This window comes from Homo sapiens, chromosome 20 (genome assembly GCF_000001405.40).
Source record: "Homo sapiens chromosome 20, GRCh38.p14 Primary Assembly".
NCBI lineage: Eukaryota > Metazoa > Chordata > Mammalia > Primates > Hominidae > Homo > Homo sapiens.
This window is the reverse complement of record NC_000020.11, coordinates 57,309,883-57,329,795: the sequence shown is the minus strand read 5'-3', so window position 1 is coordinate 57,329,795 and position 19,913 is coordinate 57,309,883. Positions and strand designations below refer to the sequence as shown.

Below are 19,913 nucleotides of genomic sequence, written 5' to 3'. Positions count from 1 at the left end.
TTTCCCGCGCTTTCTGAGCGGCCGGCGTGCCCACGCCACACACCCAGAGGCGGGGCTGGACAGGCGTATGCGTAGAGCACGGCGTGGAGTGCGCAAGCGCAGGGCTCTCAGGCGCGGTCCCACCTGTGAGGCCCTGAGGCGGGCGCCTCCCTGAGTGTGGGTCGCGCAGGCATCGGCCCTGCGTGGCTGAGCTGAGAGATGTTTGTGTGGCGTGCTGCGGATATTGGACCTAGAGTCCCTTGAGGTGATTTAATTATTTTGGGGGTTGGCTATTTAGGGACAGCAATATCAGCGATTTTTCATTAAAACACATAATGATGAAGATCCAGCTGTGTGGGATAACAGTTCTCGGCAATGGGTTCAGCTGTGATTGAGGTGAACGCAATCCCTGTCCTTACTAACGTTTCATAGCAGTTGAATGCCTCCAAAGCCCTTTGCACTCAGGTCCCTCTTCTAATTCCCTTAAGAACCCCAGGAAGTTCCTAACGTGTCATCCTAATTTTGCAGGTGCCAGGAAAGGTCAGCTCAGAGCAGGCAGGCCTGGGTTAAAATCCCAGCCCTCGCACTCCGTAGGGCAGACCAATTTGGCAAAGAAAATCCAGGACAACCAGTTAAATTAGAATTTCAGATAAACAGCAAATCCTTTTTTTTTTTTAGAGTAACTACGTCTCGTATAAAGTTTGGGATATACTTTTACTAAAAAGTTATTTTGTAGCCTTGCACAGTGGTACTCACCCGTAGTCCCAGCTACTAGGGAGGCTGAGGCAGGAGGATGGATTTAGAGGCTCCAGGAGTTGAAGGCTGCTGTGCGCTAGGATTGTGCCTGTGAATAGCCACTGTACTCCAGGCTGGGCAACACAGGGCGATCCCTTCTCAAAAAAAAAAAAATAGTTCTTTTTTTTTTTAAGTGAAAGGTCTCACATATTTATTACTGAACCCAGCCAACCAACGCATTCATCACAGATTCAGAGAGAAAAAATATATTCTCAATAAAACATGTACAACTCTCCAGAGAGCGGTGACATTTTCAGCTTGATGTGGTAACATGACTGTGACCTTCAGACAGCATAAATATGTGTGCCCTCTCATGTGCAATTCCTTATAGGCCCAGCTCGGTTCTTCTTCAATGTCTCCTTTTGGAGTTGTACCTGATTTTATTATCAGTTTTCATCCGAATCCACTGGGGACGATTTTGCTTTTGTTTCTTGGCCAGGAATTGCTTAATCCCAAAAGTCTTGTGGGAAAGACATGGCGAGAAGTGGAGTCAAGCACACACCACGATGGCAGAGAAAGGAATGTTATTTCATTGTTTATGTGAAATTCAAACTTAACTGGCATCTTGTATTTTATGTAGCTCCTCTCCCTCTATACCATGTCATCCCCTGACAGACTTGGTGAGTGGTGCCTTTCCCCCACTTGCTCCAAGCCTTCTAGAGCAGAAGATAGGAATTCTGAAGCCCAAGGAAAGGAGTCCTGACTTTGGGAAGGAGGAGAGGACAGTGGAGCGAGACCCTGGAACAAGGTGGTTCCAAGGCCTTTGGGGGCCTGGTCCTGCATGGGTGGGGTGCTGGGGCTTGGCCCCAGAAGAGCTACTTGGGAGAACTGTTTTGTTCTTTCCGTTCCTGGTAATTTGATAATTTTCCAACTAAAACTAGTTTCCCATCATAAATAATGCACTCCCTCTGTTCACAGGGATGGTTGCCTGTGTTGATGGCTGTTCTGCATGTACCAAGCACTGTGTTGATGGCTTTACATTGCTGTTATCACAAATACTTCCTCACTGCCTACCTTGCACCGGGCAAGGTTTATTACCGAGGACACAGCTGTGAACAAGGCAGGTAAACCCCTTCCTCTTAGGGAGCTCGGAGCCTAAAAGGAGGGGAGAACTAAAGGCAATCAGGTGAACTTTTTTTTTTTTTTTTGAGATGGAGTTTCGCTCTTGTTTCCCAGGCTGGAGTGCAGTGGCACAATCTCGGCTCACTGCAATCTCCGCCTCCTGGGTTCAAGTAATTCTCCTGCCTCAGCCTCCTGAGTAGCTGGGATTACAGGCAAGTGCCATCGCACCCGGCTAGGTTTTTGTATTTTTTAGTAGAGATGGGGTTTCACCATGTTGGCCAGGCTGGTCTCGAACTCCTGACCTCAGGTGATCCATCCTCCTCACCCTCCCAAAGTGCTGGGATTATGGGCGTGAGCCACTGCACCTGGCCAGATGAACTCTTACATAATTAAGTTGGCAGGGTAAGAAATGCACTGAAAATAAATCAGTGACTTTAAGAGGTGAAAAATAGTACACCCAATTCACATATGAAGAAACTGAGGTTTGGAGAAATTAACCCTTTTGTGTAAGATTGGACCTCCAGTAAGTGACAGAGCTGAGAGTTAAACCTTGACTCCAAATTCATGCTCTTAACCACTTGGATATGAGGCATCTGTGGGGGTCTGGCTTGGAGTGTGTCATCGTTCTCTGGGGGCTTTGGTGGTGGTCTTAGTTTTCTCATCTTTCAAATGAGGGTGTGCGGCAGGTGGGTTCTCATGCGTCATCCCCAAAGAGGAACAAACAAATGAAAGGATCTTGCAGGCCAGGAGGTCAATGACACTGTCAAGGCTTGTCTGCTGGAAGGTGCCTCTCCCCTGGGACTAGAAACATTTCTGTCCACTTTTCCCTGTCCCCTGAGGACAGAGCCTTTGGTATCACTTAGCATTAGACTCAACCAGAAGCCAGCAGCCTTGCTAGACCTGACACAGAATGAAAGGTCCTGAGCTGGGTGGGGGCACAAGGAGAGGATCAGAACAGTGAAGTGAAGTGAGCAAACCCGTAATAAACCTGGCATTCCTAAGAGGAGAAACCGCAAAGTGCAAGGTGCGACTTGAAAGGACTTGGCTGGGGTTCCCACTGCGCTGACAAAAGCAGGAGGGGCAGCTCACCCTCCAGCAGCTAGGCTCTGCCTGTGCCCTGCAGGTATCCTGCTCCACGGCAGGACTCATAGGCCCTCCCCCAGCAGCTGTGTGCACCACCTTCACATCAAAGTCAACAGTCCCAGCCCCAGGCTGTGAGCAAGAACCAGAAAAACATATTCTGCTCCTAGCAACACATTGCAAATGAAACTGACAAATGCCAACTTGCAGGACAGTCTCAATACTGAGTTCTCCCTATGGGCCAGGAAGCTTCCCCGCAAACCCTACTAGCCGGTGTTTCCTCCAAACTCATACTCAGTCCCAGAAACACAGTAGAGGGCCAAAATCTTTGTGCAGGCTGGAAAGGAGTATTGTTTAAATTAGGTGCAAAGATCTGTTCCACCTCTAACACATCCAAAAAAGGGAAAGAAGGGAGGCAAGGATGGGGAGGCCCTTTCAACAAACCAGACAGGAGAGGATAGCATACTTCTTACATTTAAACAAGGTGGCTTATCTAGCAAATGTAAGTGAATTTTAACATTTTGTAGATTCATGGCAGGGCGCGGTGGCTCAGGCCTGTAATCCCGGCACTTTGGGAGGCCGAGGTGAGCAGATCACTTGAACTTAGGAGTTTGAGACCAGCCTGGGCAACATGGTGAAACCATGTCTCTACAAAAAATACAAAAATTAGCCAGGTGTGGTGGCCTGAGGTGGAAGGATCACTTGAGTCCTGGAGGCGGAGGTTAGAGTGAGCTGAGATTCACGCCACTGCTCTCCAGCCTGGGCCACAGAGCAGAACCTGTCTCAAAAAAAAAAAAAGAAAAAAGAAAAATATATGGTAGCTTCTTGTTAGACAAGAAGTAGAGAAAAGGCCATAATATTTTCTTTACTTCTTGAGGGTTTATAGCCATTTTTCCTTTGCATTTTTTAGCTTTCGAAAATTGTGAGACTGCTACATGCTTCTCATAAGATATTGACATAATTCAGAAGTGTGTGAGATGTGAGCGAAAGAGAAAGAGACCTCCCCGCTCCCCATCACTGCAGCTGCACTGGCTCCACCTTCTTGGGTCCTCCTTTTTTTTTTTCTTTCTTTTTTTTTTTTTTGAGATAGGATCTCCCTCTGTCACCCAAGCTAGAGTGCAGTGGCGCCATCAAAGCTCACTGCAGCCTTGACCTCCTGGGCTCAAGCAATCCTCCTGCCTCAGTCTCCCAATGTGTTCGAATTACAGGTGTGAGCCACTGCTTCTGGTCTGGTCTGCTCTTCTCGCTGCAACCTTTGCATCTTGGAATTGTTCCTTCCTGCTCTAAGGCCTTTGCACTTGCCTTTCCCTTAACAGCTTGGGACCCCTTGTCCTTTTTCTTTCCCTACTCCCCTCCCTTCCCCTCCCAAATCCAACCTGGCTAACTCTCCTGCAGCCTTCAGATCGCCCTCTGAACATCTTCCTGGGCTACACCCCTGTGTCTTGACTCCTGGTTACCATGTGCCCACAGCTCCACGTGGCACATGGAATGATTGAATGAGTGACTCCTCATGGGGTTACCTCTGTTACCTATTCCTTGTATTTTATCCCAGGCATTTTTCTATTCATGCCCAAATTAGCAACGTGTCCAGAGTAAGACTTCACTCTGCAGACTGGTATTGCTGCTTCTGGTAATAATAGGAACTAAGGTTCGCTGACGGTCAGACACTGGGCCCAGTGCTTCATGCATAAAATCTCATTTACCCCCTCCCATTTTACAGCAGAGAAAGTTGAGTACCAAGAAGTATAAAAATTGCTGGGTTTCATAGAGATGCAAGTGATAAGGTGCTGACAGGAAGGGTTTCTTTGATCTAAGCCGCTATACGATATTGCCTCAAAGTCAAGGCAACTTAGTATTGATGAATTAATTTGCTTGTTGTTGTAGCTAGTGATCATGTACCAGGATGTGTGATGTAAAGCAGATCATATCCTGGTGTGAATAAAATGAAATCTAATGTTAAGAAGATCACCAAAATATTTGCAAGCCTATGGGTCATCTTATTAACAAAAGCAGGATGTTCACTTATTTTTAGAGAGTGCTGTCATGCACTACCGTGGACCCAACACCAGCTTCCATGACTGTCAACTCATGGCCAACATTTTGTCACCCACATCCACCCCCTTACCTACCCTCACACCAGATTATTTTGAAACCAATCCCAAGAATCATATTATTTTATTAATAAGTGTTTCAGCATGTTTCTAAAAAAAAAAAGGACTCTTAAACACATTATAATTCCATTATCATACTAAAAGGTATGTTAACAATCATTCTTTATATCACCAAGTATTCTATCTGTTGAAATTGCCCCAATTGTTTCAGCAATTGTTTTCTTCTCATTTAAAAAAGTTATCTATTTTAATTGACAAATAAAAATTGTGTATATCTATCCTATACAACATGTTGTTTTGAAATCTGTATCCATATTTAGCTTGATTAGCTAAATCATGCTAATGAACATACACCTTAGCTCACATACTTATCATTTTTTTGTGGTGAGAACACACACAGGTAGTCCTAAAATGTACTCTCAGCGATTTTCAAGAATACAATAGCTTGTCATGAACTACCTAGGCACCATGTTGTACAGTAGATCTCTTGACCTTATTCAGCCTGTCTAACTGGAATTTTATATCTTTTGACCCCTATCTCCCCAGTCCCCTAGCCCCCACTCTGTTGCTTACCATGCTACTCCCACTTCTATGAGTTTGGCTTTTTTAGATTTCACATATAAGCGAGACCATGCGGCATTTGTTATGTTTGTTTAGTTTGTTTTCATCAAGATGCGAATAAGGTCCATCCACACATGGCTGTTGGTTGATATGACTCTTAAGTCTCCTAAATTCTATAGGTTCTTCTCCAGTTTTCTTTCCTTGCAATTTACTTGTTGAAGAAACTGAGTCATTAGTCCCAGAGAGTTTTGTGCAATTAGGAGTTTGGGGATTGCATCCCTGTGATATAATTTACTATGTTTTTCTGTTTCAGGTATTTCTTATAAATTGAGAGTTGAATTTGGAGGCTTAACTGTTTCTGGTTTGATTTTTTTTTCATAAAAATATTTCGTAGGTGGTTTGAAATATTTATTTTTTATTTTTAGGCAGAGTCCTGCTCTGTCGCCCAGGCTGGAGTGCAGTGGTGTGATCTCCAGCTCACTGCAACCTCCGCCTCCCGGGCTCAAGTGATTCTCCTGCCTCAGCTTCCTGAGTAGCTGAGATTACAGGTACCCACCACCATGCCCAGCTAATTTTTGTATTTTTAGTAGAGATGGGGTTTCGCCATGTTGGCCAGGCTGGTCTTGAACTCCTGACCTCAGGTGATCCGCCCACCTTGGCCTCCCAAAGTGCTAGGATTACAGGCATGAGCCACCGTGCCCGGCCTAGGTTTAAAATATTTAGAACCTCCATTGTAACCTTCCAGAACTCCTCTGGCTGGGGCTTCCAGGTTGAGAACTTCAGAGCTAGCCTCAATCTCAGCCTCTCATTCACTGAAGTAGCAGCCAAGCCCGGGAGGATAAGTCATGCTGAGCAAAATCTCTGCAGCCTGCAAAATCCCTTCACAGACTACAGACCCAGATGGAGAAAGCTGAGGAGGGCTTTAGAAAAAGCAGCTTCCCTCTGCTGCACTGAGTCGCCCTGGGGATTTGCAGGGGAGGTTCCCCGACCTGGTTCGCTTTCTGCTTGTTAGCACGCAGGGTGGCTTTGTGCCACAGCCCAGCCTGACTCATCCTCTCTGCTCTTTATTTCTTTCCTCCTCACACCCTCGCTGAGCTGCTAATTGCTCTCCTCCACCCTCCCCCTTGGTTGGAATCCTGAGGCCCTGACCTAGAGACACCCCATCACAAGTGTTTTCCAGCTAGCTCCAAAACCTCATCTCTGCTTTATTTGAAAATCAGTCAACATTAAACAGAGACTTGCTCTGATTTAAGGAGACTTTTAAAACTGAAGTAATTTTCCTTCTCTCCCTTCGCTTCTTCGTTTTCTTTTTTATTGTTTGTTTTCCATTTTTTAAGACTTCTTGGCAACTGGTTTTGGGAGAAAGAGGCACTTTTGCAAAGGACCAGAAGGCATGTCCAGTGTTCAAACCCAAGGCGATGAAACCCCAAAAGGTGTTTTCCTTTCCACATCTCTGTCTCTTCCACTCCTAGGCACACACCAGAAGGGCTGCCCAATTTACACATTGGCAGGCTTATGATTCATCCAACAAATGGTTTAAGCACCTTCATGGTTCCCAGGGCCCTTCTTAGTACTGGAGATTCAACCAAGCTTGGCATCACCAAGTTCCTGCACACACATTGCTGGGGAAGGCAGATTAAAAAAAAAAAAAGTCCAGGAACAGTGGCTCATGCCTGTAATCCCATCGTTTTGGGAGGCTGAGGCAGGAAGATCACTTGAGCCCAGGAGTTTGAGACCAGGCTGGGCAACACATTGAGACCCCATCTCTGCAAAACATTTTTTTAAAAAATTAGCTGGACATTGTGGCTCATGCCAGTAGTCCTAGCTACTTGGGAGGCTGAGGCAGGAGGATCACTGGAGCCCGGGAGGTTGAGGCTGCAGTGAGCTATGATCAAGTCACTGCATTCCAGCTTGGGTGACAGAAGGAGACCCCATGTCTAAAGAAAAACAAAGAAGGAAAAAAAATACACAATTTAAGTTCAATCACAGTGTGTTAGAGGGAAAAACAATCTGTGTGGTAGGAAAGTGGGTGACTGGGCAGGAAAGTGCAATGAAGGTGGGAGAGAGGAGGGCAGAAGAAACCTGTCTCAGGTGAGGGCCTTGGAGCTAAAGCCTTAGCTATGAAGAAGATCTGAGGGGACGAGCTCCAGGCAGAGGGAGCGAGGAGCTATGCAAAGGCCCTGCGGAGAGATTCACTGGGAGAACTTAAAGGGCAGAGAGCAGGCCAACGTTGATGGAGAGATGAGCGGGGACGTCTATCGGCCACAGTGAGGAAACAGGACTCTGTTCTAAGGCAGTGATTCCAGTGGGGGCGATTTTGCCCCTCAAAGGACATTTGGCAATGTTGGGAGACATTTTTGGTTGCCACCCATTTGGGGGCAGTTGCTCCTGGCATCTAGTGGGAAGGGGCCAGGGATGCTGCCTATGTCCTGCAAAGCACAGGACAGCCCCTACCACAGAGAACTCATCAGTCCCAGATATTGATAGTGCTGAGGTTGAGAAACGCTGGTCTAAGAGTGGTGGGAGGCCATCAGAGGGTCTGAAGCAAGGGAAGGATGTCGTGTGTGTTAAAAAAGGAGAGTGCAGTGTGGGGAGGGAGAGTGGAGGTAAGGAGATGGGGAAGATGTTGCACTTGTCTCAGTGAGAGATGCTTCTAGATCCAGGAGGCAGACCTCAAGGATGGAGAGAAGGCAGATCCTTTGAGATTGTTCCTATTCAAGTAAGCTATGGTCAAACCTGTTTTGGAAATGTTGTACACTGTACCAAGATAAGCAGTCTAGCGTGAATCCCAGAGCAAGGCTATTTAAGTTCAGATCTTGGCTTTGCCTCTTGTTAGCTGTGTGATCTTGGGCAGGATTCTCAACCTCTCTGTGCCCCAGTTTTTCCATTTCTAAAGTGGAATAATAGGGTCCATCTCAGAGGGCTAATGTGAGGAGTAAATTAGTTAATATACATATAAATAAGCTAATAGATGACTAGAACACTGCGAATACTCAATAAGCATTATCTGGTATTAGTACATACTCCTTTTGGGAGTATCACTAGTTATATCCACAAATTAAAGTCTCTGAGAAGACCTGTATCAAAACTGTTGCTGGACTTGCTTAGCCTGCATTCACTAAACTTATATTTTCATGACACGTCCCCCACCCCCACCAACTCCCTGAACACTCTGAAAACCAGGGATCCTCAGAAAACATTTATTTATTTATTTATTGAGATGGAGTGTTGCTCTGTCCCCCAGGCTGGAGTGCAGTGGCGTGATCTCGTCTCACTGTAACCTCCATCTCCGGGGTTCAAGCAATACTCGTACCTGAGCCTCCCGAGTAGCTGGGAATCCAGACGTGCACCACCACACCTGGCTAATTTTTGTATTTTTAGTAGAGACAGGGTTTCACCATGTTGGCCAGGCTGGTCTTGAACTTCTGGCCTCAGGTGATCCACCCAGCTCACCCTCCCAAAGTGCTGGGATTACAGGCATGAGCCACTGCACCCAGCCCCTCAGAAAACATTTTAAAATCATCTTTATTGAGATCTAATTCACGCATCATAAAATTCATTCTTTTAAAGTATACAATTCAATGGGTTTTGGTGTATTGAAAAAGTTGTGCAATCATCCTCACAATCTAATTTTGGAACATTTTGTCTCCCCCAAAAGAAACTCTGTACTTATTAGTAGTCTCACCTCATTCTCCCTTCCCCCAGCCCTTGGAAGCCACTCATCTACTTTCTGTCTATGAATATGTCTGTTCCGGACATTTCACATAAATGGAGTCATACAGTATGTGGCCTTTTGTGATTGACTTCTCTCACTGAGTGTAGTGTTTTCAAGATACTGCCACGCAGCATAGATCTGTGTTTCATTCCTTGTTATGGTCAAATGCTATTCCACTGCATGGAGAGACCACATGTAGTTCATCTGTTCATCAGTTGCTGGACACGGGTTGTTTCCAGTTTTGGGTTATTATAAATAATGCTGCTGTGGACATTCAGGTACAAGTTGCAGTGTGGATACATGTTTTTATTTCTCCTGGGTAGACACCTAGGCGTGGAATTGCTGGGTCACATGGTGAGCTCGGTGTTGAGCTTTTTACAGAAGAGAGCACTCTGAGGCTTGTGGATGCTGGCATTTTGTTTGCTCTGCCATTTCCCCTTCTCCTTTCTCTCTCCCCCGTTCCCCCTGTAGTCCTAGATGCCAATGAGAACTTTGCCTCTTCCCAAGTGTTTGATCTTGAGGAAGTGATTTATCCTTCTCTGAGCCTCCATTTTCTCACCTGTAAAATGGGAATAAAGATGAAATGGGATTATTTATGTAAAGTGCTTGCTCTAGTGCCTAGTAGTCAGCTGGTTGAAGCCGTATTGTTGCTAGTGGCATCTGTGAGTGAGCATTGTGAGATCTCCTTGATGTAAGCAGTATGTGGATCGGTAGATGCAGTTGCCAGCAATGCTGTGATGAAGATTCCTGTGTTTGTCTTCTGGGCAGGACGTAGGATACACACATCTTCACCTCCATTGGAGTTTGCCAACTGAATCTCTAAGGCAGTTGAACCAACGCACACTCCAATGGAAGAGTTTTCACCACACCATTCTTGCCAAGCCCTGATAATTTCTTACTTTTTGCCCATTTGGTGGGTATGACACAATGTCACCTTATGGTTTTGATTTGGATGCCAGATACTTTATCTGGATTATGTTATTTAGCACTTGCAGACACCTTGTGAGGTTCATACTGATACGATCCTTTTTTTTTTTTTTTTTTTTTTGAGACAGAGTCTCACTCTATTGCCCAGGCTGGAGTGCAATGGCACGATCTTAGCTCACTGCAACCTCCGCCTCCTGGCTTCAAGCGATTCTCCTGCCTCAGCCTCCTGAGTAGCTGGGACTACAGGCGCCCGCCACCACGCCCGGCTAATTTTTGTATTTTAGTAGAGACGGGGTTTCACCATGTTGACCAGGCTGGTCTCAAACTCCTGACCTCGTGATCCATCCACCTTGGCCTCCCAAAGTGCTGGGATTACAGGCGTAAGCCGCCGTGCCCGGCCATATGATCCCCATTTTGCAGAGGAAGAAACAGACTTTGAGAAGTAAAGGGCTGGCCCATAAGACATGAAGCCAGGCAGTCTGTTTCCAATGCCTAGGTTCTCCATCTGAGCTTCACTCTCTCTCCCTGGGGCCAGGGGCTGACAAATAAACATGGGAAAGACCCCAGGGTGACTACTGAGACTGCCAAGAAATTGAAGAACTACATTCATTCTTTCAGTCAGCAAATACTTATTTGTGCCAGACTCTGTGAACAAAATAAAGTCCCTGTTCCCAGGGCTTCTGGTCCAGTGTGGGGAGACAGCAAATAGATTTGTAACATCACATAAGCTCTGGGAGAAAAATCAAGCAGGTAAAGGGGCTGTAGGGTGATGTTTATGTAAGGAGGTCAAGGGAGGCTTCTCGAGGAAGGGACATTTGGACAGAGACCTGGACATTTGTACAGGAAGGGACGTAGTGAGGGTGCGAACCACGTGGCCAGCTGCAGGCAGAACCTTTTTGGCAGAGAGAACAGCACGCACAAGGCCTGCATGGTGGCATGATTGGGGCGTTTGAGGAATACCAAGGCAGCCATGGTAGGCAAAACTCTAGAGCTGGCTCCAGATTCTCATTCTCCGATTATTCAACCAAACAGGAATCCAGGTGCTGCTGCGAAGGGTTTGCAGTTGAAATGAAAGTCCCAAGTCAGTTGATCTTAGGATATGAAAATGATCCTCATGGCCCTAATCTAATCAGAGGGGCCCTTTAAGAGCAGAGGATCCTCTCTGGCTGGTGCAGGAGAGGTCAGAGTGTTTGGAAGCACGAAAAGGATTCCAGGGGCCCTTGCTGGCTGAAGATAGAGGAAGCCATGAGACAAGGAATGCAGGTGGCCTCTCCAGGTGCTGAGAGCTGCCCCTGGCTGAAAGCCACCAAGGAAATGGGGACTATCGTCCTGTAACCACAAGGACCTGGATCCTGCAGTTAGAGAAATGAGCGCAGAAGAGAACTCAAGCTCCTGGTAAGAGCACAGCTGGCAATATGTAATTTCAGCCTGAGCAGAGAACCCAGACGCACTGCACTAGACTTGTGACCTACAGAACCGTGAACTTATAAACAGGTGTTGTTTTAAGCTGCTAAATCTGGGGCAGTTTGTTACACAGCATAGAAAACAAATATAGAAGTTGTGTGGCTAGGACAGGGGGCACAAGGGGCAGAAGGCGGAGATGAGGCTTGGGAGGGACTGATTGCTGTGGTGAGGACTTTGGCTTTTATGCTGAGGGAGGCGGGAAGCCGCCAGAAATGTGTGACTCTCAGACCGCCTGGCCCTCCGCCACACACTCGCCTTCTCGCAGGTTCCATCCTGCCGAGTTTTTGTTCCACCACCGCAGCCCACTTCCTTACATTTATCCGTCTATCAACTGATGTGTGTATGTGAGTCAGTCAGGCCCTGTTGATTGCAGGGGACGGGAAACCAGAACAAAGTACTTATCCTCCAAATCCAGGGACTTCAGGGTGAGCTGGATCCAGGAACTCAACTATTACTTTCGGAAACCTGTGTCCTTCCATCCCTGCCCTTCGCCCTCTTCTGTATGTCTGCGTTTTCAGGAGGGCTCCCCACACGGTGGCCAGGATGGTCGCCAGCAGCTCTTGCCTTCACCCTGCCATCCCAGTGATCCAGGCAGAAAGACCCCCACCTTTCTCTCAATGGGTCTCGTAAAACTCTTGGAGATGACATGCCTTGGCCCAGCTGGGTCACAAGGTCACTGTGAAGCCAATCACAAAAGGTGGGCAGCTGTGGGGAGAATACATTTAATGGCTGGGCCTAGGCCATGCACTTCCTCCAGGAGGCAAGTGGGGCAGAGGGCTCCAGGCCCACCCTGAAACCCCCTGGACTGTGAAAGTGGAGAGTGGTCCTTTATGGGGTCACTGGGGTGCCACCTGCAGCAAGAGAGGAAGCAGATGCTGGCGGCCAAAGCAGCAGATGCCCCTGAGAATGGCCAGCTTGGTCCACACCTCTGGGTGCCGTGGGTGCCTGCACTCAGACACAGTTTGGAGATTCCAGAGTGTCGCGCTCTGCTGTGTTCAGGTCACCCCCCTATCTCTGCATCCTATTAGGTCTTGGCACAGGCAGCGGGACTTGTGGAACTATGACAGAGCCCTGCCTTTGACCTGGTTGTTTACTGGAGAAATAAATAGAGAAAATCAGCTGAACAGATGCTTGGACAAACGGAGCAGCCCTGGGAGGCACATGCAAGAGTCACCTTCGTAAACAGACGTGGCTCGGAAAGTCTGTCTGAGCCCCAAACAAACGAGGCCTGCAGCCAAGCATGAAGCCACCTGGGTTCCCTAGCCAGCAAGGACAAGGCCCCCTGGAGCCATGGGTCCACTGGGGCTGGGGGATTGCCCAGGATGCCCCAGCCTGTAGGGGTGGTGGGGGTGCACACTGACACTTACATTTTCCTCTTGCTGTTTTTAAAATGCAGTATTGGCTTTGGGAGGCCGAGGCGGGCGGATCGTGAGGTCAGGAGATCGAGACCATCCTGGCTAACACGGTGAAACCCTGTCTTTACTAAAAATACAAAAAATTAGCCGGGCGTGGTTGTGGGCGCCTATAGTCCCAGCTACTCGGAAGGCTGAGGCAGGAGAATGGCATGAACCCGGAAGGCAGAGGTTGCAATGAGCCAAGATTGCGCCATTGCACTCCAGCCTGGGTGACAGAGCGAGACTCTATTTTACATATATATTATATATATATATTTATATACATATATATAATAAAATAAAATGCAGTACTGGAAACAGGTCTGGGAGGAGAGGGACTGGTTGGCTTGGAGATTCCCCTCCCCAATACCAATAATCATTACAATCAACCTTGCAACAGCCTGAGGAGTTTATCGGGTCCCTTTCTCCCCGGTACACATGTGATTCTCTCATGACATCTCCTCTGCTTGAGCTCCAGCCATACAGGCCTCCTCGGTGGTCCTCAAGGACACCAGGTATGCTTGTGTCTCAGGGCCTGCGCACCTGCTGTTCCCGCAGCCTGTGATGCCCTCCCCACCCCAGCCCTGTGACACCCTCCCCACCCCAGCCCCGTGACACCTTCCCCACCCCAGCCCCGTGGCTTTTTGGCCCTCACTTCCATTAGGTTTCTGCTCAAGTGCTACCTTAAAACACAGGACTTGTATCAGACTCTGTTTTGCTGCAGCAGCAAACAACCCCAAGTCCTCCATGCCCCGACACACCAAATGTTTATCTCTCACACACACAACACCTCCAACCTCATTCTAGGGGGTTCTGAGACCCAAGTTGCCACAGACTCATCTGCACTTTCATGGTCACAGCATCAGGGGAAAGGGAGTGTGGCAAGTCACACAGTGACACCTGTCACTTCCATGCACGCTTTGTTGGCCAAAGCAAGTCACAGGTGTCTGAGAGGAGAGCCAAAAACATGAGTGACTAGCTCAGTGTCACCTCCTTTCTTAGTCACCCTAAATAAGCAGTCCCACCCTGTTTTAATGCCTTTCCTATGCTGCTCCCCACCTGACGGTATGGATATTTAGCTGTTGTCCCCTCGCTTCCCCCTAGAATAAGGTCTTCCTGAGGGCAGGACTTTGTCTGGTTTTGTTCACTGGTTTGCCTGCAATATTTAGAACACTGCCTGGCATTCAATATGCATTCAAATAAGTGTTAGTCAAATGAATCAAGAGCAGTATGAGCAGTTAATATCAAAGGGTACTGACCACGTGCCAGCTGCCATGCTAAGAGCTATTCGTGCATTTACTCATTTGATCCTTGTCTCAACCTTATGGGGGATGTAGGTCTATATGACCCCCATTTTCCATATAAGGAAACTGAGGCTCAGAGGGGTCGAGACAGTTGCCCAAGGTCACACAGCAAGTGAGTGGGCAGAGCCAACCTCTTGACCTACCTCTGAGGGGCCCTCCAACCCAGCCGCTTAGTACCAAGAGGGCAGGGTCACTATGTCTAAGCACAGAAGTGGAGACAGGGCCTGGTGAGCATTTCAGAGGGAAGAGCAACAGTGGCAGAAAATAATAAAAGTATCTCTAGTTCTTGGGCACCAGGCATGGTGCCAAGGGAGGCACATACGCCTTCTTATGGTCACAAGCATTGTTGGAATCCCTATTGAACAGAGGAGGAATCTGGAGGTGATCATACTTTCCAAGGTGCTGCTAGGCTTCAGGAAAAGCTGAGGCCCTGGTTATCCAGATCTGCAGGCTGAAACACTAACCACAAGGCTGTTCTACCTCTTTGCTGACCTGTACATCCAGAGCATTGCAAAAGAGGCATGAATTTCCATTGTCACTGTGCCCAGGACCCCTCAGCAAGTCAGCAGGCTCTGCCTTCCTCTGCTGTGACTTTATGAAGCTCCTTAATGGGGACATAATGCAAGCCATTGCCTTATTGCCTAATAGTTTATTGCATTCTGTTTTTCCAGCCCAGAAAAGAAGGCAAACTTTAATGTTTTCCTCCTGTGAATGCTTTTACTTCTGTCCAGGCTTGTCCCTAACCTCTCCCTGGTTTCTGTCTGTCACTCTCCACCCACTCCTTGCCTTTTCTCCAAATGGCTGCAACAATCACATAGAAGAGTGCAGGGGCTTCCTCTACAGATGCCTGGGTTCGGGTCTCAGCCCCACCACTTACTGGCTCTGTGCCCCCTGAGCATGTTTCTCAGCCTCTCTGAGCTTCAGTTTTCTCATCTGTGAAGTGGGAATAATGACCATTCCTACCTCATAGGGTTGAGGGCTAAATGCATCAACTATGTAAAGACATGTGGTGAGTGCTCCATCAGTGGTAGAAACCATCATTTCTGAGGACTCTGGAGGCACCAAACATCTCTTCTAAAGTGTTTGGGGTCCATCGAAGTTGGCACAATATTATTCATGCTTCACTATTTGGAAAAGCAAAAAAATTGCCAACACTCAAATATTCGCTGATACAATACAAAATTGACTCAATCAATTCTCCCTGTGACTGCAGTGGAAAACTCTACAGCTGGTAACAGAACCACCATATTGCCCGGAGGTACGTCGGCTGAAAAAGCTGGTTATGTCACATACCACATTAGTAGGTTAGATTGTGGGGACTTCACCTTCTGCATTCCATATTTCTGAGATACTTAAATTATTTTATAAGTTAGAGGTTGTTTTGTAATCAGGAGAAGCAAAAGAGGTGTGAGCTTCATGTAATGGGGTCCACAAGAAATTTTGTATGTCTATGACTTTGTTTCCCACTTCCCTTGACTCAGCTTCAAAGAGTTTGGGGGTTCTTAAAGTAGAAACCCTTGTTACTGGCGTCTTTGGAACTCCTGATTTGCTGCTGAATAAAAACAGAGTTCAATGGGTCTGGTAGGTTTGGTTATGGTCTTGTTGTAAGGGCTCTGCGAATTTCCCTCCATGTGCCCTATGCAAGTGCTCAGCCCACCAGTCTTTAAATAAAGTTCCATGCTGCCTGATTTAGTGGCACAGGTGGGAATCATGCCCGGAGCTTCTGTTTGGGGGTAGCAGTGTCCTTTCCATCACCCATACTGCTTTCTTCTGACTACCTTGAAAACCATATCCATGTGTTTTGTAATTATTTTATTAGCCCTACATATGGAGGTGGTGCTGGCAGCTGGGCAACCCCTTGAACTCGATTATCCCAGTGACACTCTGCATCCCTGCACGTTTCCTGTCACTCGAGTTTGTCTGCTAATGCCAGCTCTTCTATTGAGCAAGTGGGTTAAGAAGCACTATCGGCTCTGAGACCCAGGGTGAGGCAGCCTCCACTTCTACTTGTACTTTTGCAGTCACAACATCAGGGGAAAGGGAGAGTGGTATGTCACACAGTGACACCTGTCACTTCCATGCACATTTTTGCTTGGCCAAAGCAAGTCACAGGTGTCTGGAAGGAGAGCCAAAGATCAGCAATTCAGACCTTCTCAGTTAACTCGTTAGCATCTTGTTGAGACAGGATAACTTCAGGAAAGAAAATAGAGGGAAGAGGGGAGTAGTCACCAAACCTCTGATTGGAGACCTCTGGGATGATTGTCCTACAATCACTGGGCTTCCAGTGATCAGCCGCTTTTATTTCTACCACGTTTGATGGGGAGTCAGTTCAGTATGTCTTTCAAAAGATCGGTTTAGGCCTCAATCCCATATGCCCCAATCCCAGCAGACGAGACCAGCAGTCTCGAGAGTCCCTGAGATTAACTCCCATTCCCAGTTACAGAAAACTCACTTTGGTTCCTGGTGGTTAATGGCATAGAATCTGCAGCCAGTGTGCCTGATTCACACCTGAGTTCTGCCTCTTACCAGCTGGTAGCCTTGGGCAAGTTCTCCATCTTCTTGGGTCTCAGTTTCTCTATCTGTAAGATGCTGATGGTAAGGTACCCACCTCAAGATTATTATGAGGACTAAGTGAGTTCATACATGCAAGAAGCTTAGAACAGGTCCTAGCACATATTAAGTGCTCGTAAACATTAGCCATCATGATTGCTATTATTATTATTATTGCTTTTTGTCTTTCAGTTGTGATGACAATGCTCATCACTGTGAGCACATGCTCAAACTCTGTTCACATCTTTTGTCTGTCCATTTCCATCAGTTTGATAAAAAGATCTGTCTGTATTGGCCAAAGGTTACATTCACCCCCTTTCACAATCCTGGATTTTAACTGTCAACTCAGTTTTGCCTCCCTAGAGTTTGAGAATGCCACACACTTATCATCCATTGCCTGTGATCTCCCACGCCAGACCCTTGCACCCTCACCTCGAATGCCGCCTCCCATCCTCTGCCTTGATGAGTGTTGCTCGTTCCTGGGGATGACGTTGTCCATGAGGTCCTCTGCACCCTCACTACCCCTGCCTCTCATGCCCACAGCTCCCAGTGACTCACCACCATTCCTGTGGGCACTTGGATGGAATCTTCTACTGAGAGCCAACTGCCGTCTAGGTCTCCCACCTGTAAGTAGGGCCACTGGATCACACAATTGTTAAGGTTCTATTCAAGCCAATGTGGGTCTTTGGAACATAGCTAAGAAAATATTGATGATACCTGTATGGAGGGAATCACGAAACATTATTTAAGGACATGAAAGAAGATCAGAATAAGTGGAGCTACATGGCCATATTCATGGATGTAGGACTCAATATTATAAAGATAAGAATGTATCCACATTTACTGAAGTTCACTGAAATTGCAGCAATTACTTTTAGATGTTGCATTTCTCTTTTTAAGTCCGGTCAAGTGAAGCGGTGGGAGTGGGGAAGGAACAAATAAATCTGTAACCGGCTGTGATCAATTAGTTGTAAACACCACGGCACATCCTGGGCCAGCCAGGATGTTGCATTCCCAGTGGAACTTAACAAACTGATTCCAAAACTCATATGGAAAAACAAAGGCGAAGAATAATTTAGGCAATTTGGAGAAGAACATGAAGGGAGGGTGCACCAGACATCGAGTTGTTTACAAAGCTCTAGTTATTGAGAGAGGCTGATATTGAAATAGTGATCGAGAAAGAGATGAATGAAACAGAACGGAAACTTGCTCAGTGACTCAGGTGGCCTTGAGGACAAGGGAAAAGAATGGGTCCTTCAAAAAATAATGCTGGGACAACTATTTTTCCATACCTTACAAAAATTGATTCCAGCCATATATCATACTCAACACTCAATTCAGGATGGATTAAACACCTGTGTATGAAAACCAAAACTTCAAAAAGAACATGTTGGAAAATATGACTCTTGGGGAAGGAAGGACTTCTTCTGTCTATGAAAACCAAAACTTCAAAAAGAAAATGTTGGAATATGACTTTCAGGGAGGGAAGGATTTCTTGAATACTCCAGGTAGGAAAGGTGAGGAAGATAGTGGTCAGGCTGTGTGTTGCGGCTGTGAGTCACTCCAGCTGCCACCTCCCGGCAATGTCACACTGGACACGCTCTTCATCTCTCTGTGCTCAACTGGTAGAATGTGAGTGTGCATTTTGGAAAACTAAATCTACTGCTGCCTTTCCCCATTCTTTTTTCTCCAGCAAAGTCAATCCAACTCCCACCATGGAAGATGAGTACTCTGGCTAATTTCTTTCTAGTGAACTGTGGGCCGGGCCGAGTCGAGGCATATGCCCCAATCCCAGCAGACGAGACCTGAGGGCCTGTGTACCACGGGCTTCGGAGAAAGGCTCACTCCCTAAGAAAGAGACATCCAGGAGCAGACACCTTCCACCAGCATGTCGTCCAGACCGTATGTGGTACCTGGAACTGCAGCAGCACCCTGTTACCATGAGGGCTCCAGCTGGTGGCATAGATGGGGGAGCACAGAGATGGAAAGAGCCTGGGTCCCTGAAGAGTTTATGGGGACACTGGTCTCAGCTGGGACTGCATGGACATGGGACATCACATTCCGGGAGAAGATACATTGTCCTTATTGTCCAATCCACTTAATGCATGATCTGTGATCTACTGTTAGATTCATTCTGACTGATGTATAACAGTCCTACATCATGATTCCTTGTAAGAATTAAGGGAGGCAGCCAGGCCGGGTGGCTCATGCCTGTAATCTTAGCACTTTGGGAAGTCGAGGTGGGTAGATTGCTTGAGCCCAGGAGTTTGAGACCAGCCTGGGCAACATGGTTGCCCATCTGTACCAAAAATACTCCCCCCCAAATTAACCAGGCATGGTGGTGTGAGCTGGTAGTCCCAGCTACTCTGGAGGCTGAGGCAGGAGGACTGCTTGAGCCTGGAAGGTCAAGGCTGCAGTGAGCTGGGGCACCACTGCACTCCAGCCTTGGCAACAGAAGGAGACCCTATCTCAAAAAATAAAAAGAATTAAATGAGGTGACAATGTGTATGAAGCACTTTGCACAGTTCCTAGTGCCACTGAGAGCTTGATAAATGACAGCTGCGCAGTCGCTAGAACATGGAAGCCCCTCACTGTGGTGACTGAGTAAGGCTAATGGTCGGTTAGAGGCACTTACAACAGGAAAGGCTCTGGCTGGAGTTCAATGGGCATTATCCCACGAGTCCTCATAAAGGTCATATGAGGTCAGTACTATTATTATCTCCATTTTAAACACCAGGAAACTGAGGCTCAGAGAGGTTAAGGAACTTGCCCAAGGGTCTGCAGCAAGAATGTGGTGGAGCCAGGACTTAAATCCAGGCCAGGCTTAGACACTGCAGAGCTTATTCGTCTTATTCAGAGGGTTTCTCCTAGGACACGAGCCCTGATGCTTCCTTTGTGGGGTGGTGGGGAGCATTTTCATGTCATCAACAAATCCTGCTGCGTGGAGCCCCACCAGCTCCTAGAGAGCCCA

The 19,913-nt window shown here is 47.2% G+C and overlaps 1 long non-coding RNA gene, 1 other non-coding gene and 1 pseudogene across 2 annotated transcripts in view, besides 3 other annotated features; 2 read left to right on the top strand and 1 right to left on the bottom strand.

The window, feature by feature from the left end:
* The first annotated feature begins 131 nt into the window (after nt 1-131).
* The window catches only part of LOC105372687 (uncharacterized), a 55,307-nt gene continuing 35,525 nt past the window's right edge, over nt 132-19,913 (top strand). Inside the window, exons 1-2 of the long non-coding RNA XR_007067670.1 lie at nt 132-375; nt 1,693-1,838. This is a non-coding gene — a long non-coding RNA (uncharacterized LOC105372687). The remainder of the gene's footprint in view (nt 376-1,692; nt 1,839-19,913) is intronic.
* RPL39P39 (ribosomal protein L39 pseudogene 39) lies at nt 903-1,296 on the bottom strand (annotated as a pseudogene).
* Nucleotides 2,455-2,957: an enhancer, noted in NCBI's record as "NANOG-H3K4me1 hESC enhancer chr20:55901895-55902397 (GRCh37/hg19 assembly coordinates)". NCBI's record gives its function as "activates a minimal SCP1, AML or CMV promoter by ChIP-STARR-seq in naive H9 embryonic stem cells {active_cell/tissue: H9 hESC(naive)}" and the evidence as "EXISTENCE:reporter gene assay evidence [ECO:0000049][PMID:30033119]".
* Nucleotides 2,958-3,461: an enhancer, noted in NCBI's record as "NANOG-H3K4me1 hESC enhancer chr20:55901391-55901894 (GRCh37/hg19 assembly coordinates)". NCBI's record gives its function as "activates a minimal SCP1, AML or CMV promoter by ChIP-STARR-seq in naive H9 embryonic stem cells {active_cell/tissue: H9 hESC(naive)}" and the evidence as "EXISTENCE:reporter gene assay evidence [ECO:0000049][PMID:30033119]".
* Nucleotides 8,205-8,294, top strand: MIR4325 (microRNA 4325). Its single transcript, NR_036219.1, has one exon. It is a non-coding gene; the product is annotated as a microRNA 4325 (primary transcript).
* Nucleotides 12,254-12,755: an enhancer, noted in NCBI's record as "H3K4me1 hESC enhancer chr20:55892097-55892598 (GRCh37/hg19 assembly coordinates)". NCBI's record gives its function as "activates a minimal SCP1, AML or CMV promoter by ChIP-STARR-seq in primed H9 embryonic stem cells {active_cell/tissue: H9 hESC(primed)}" and the evidence as "EXISTENCE:reporter gene assay evidence [ECO:0000049][PMID:30033119]".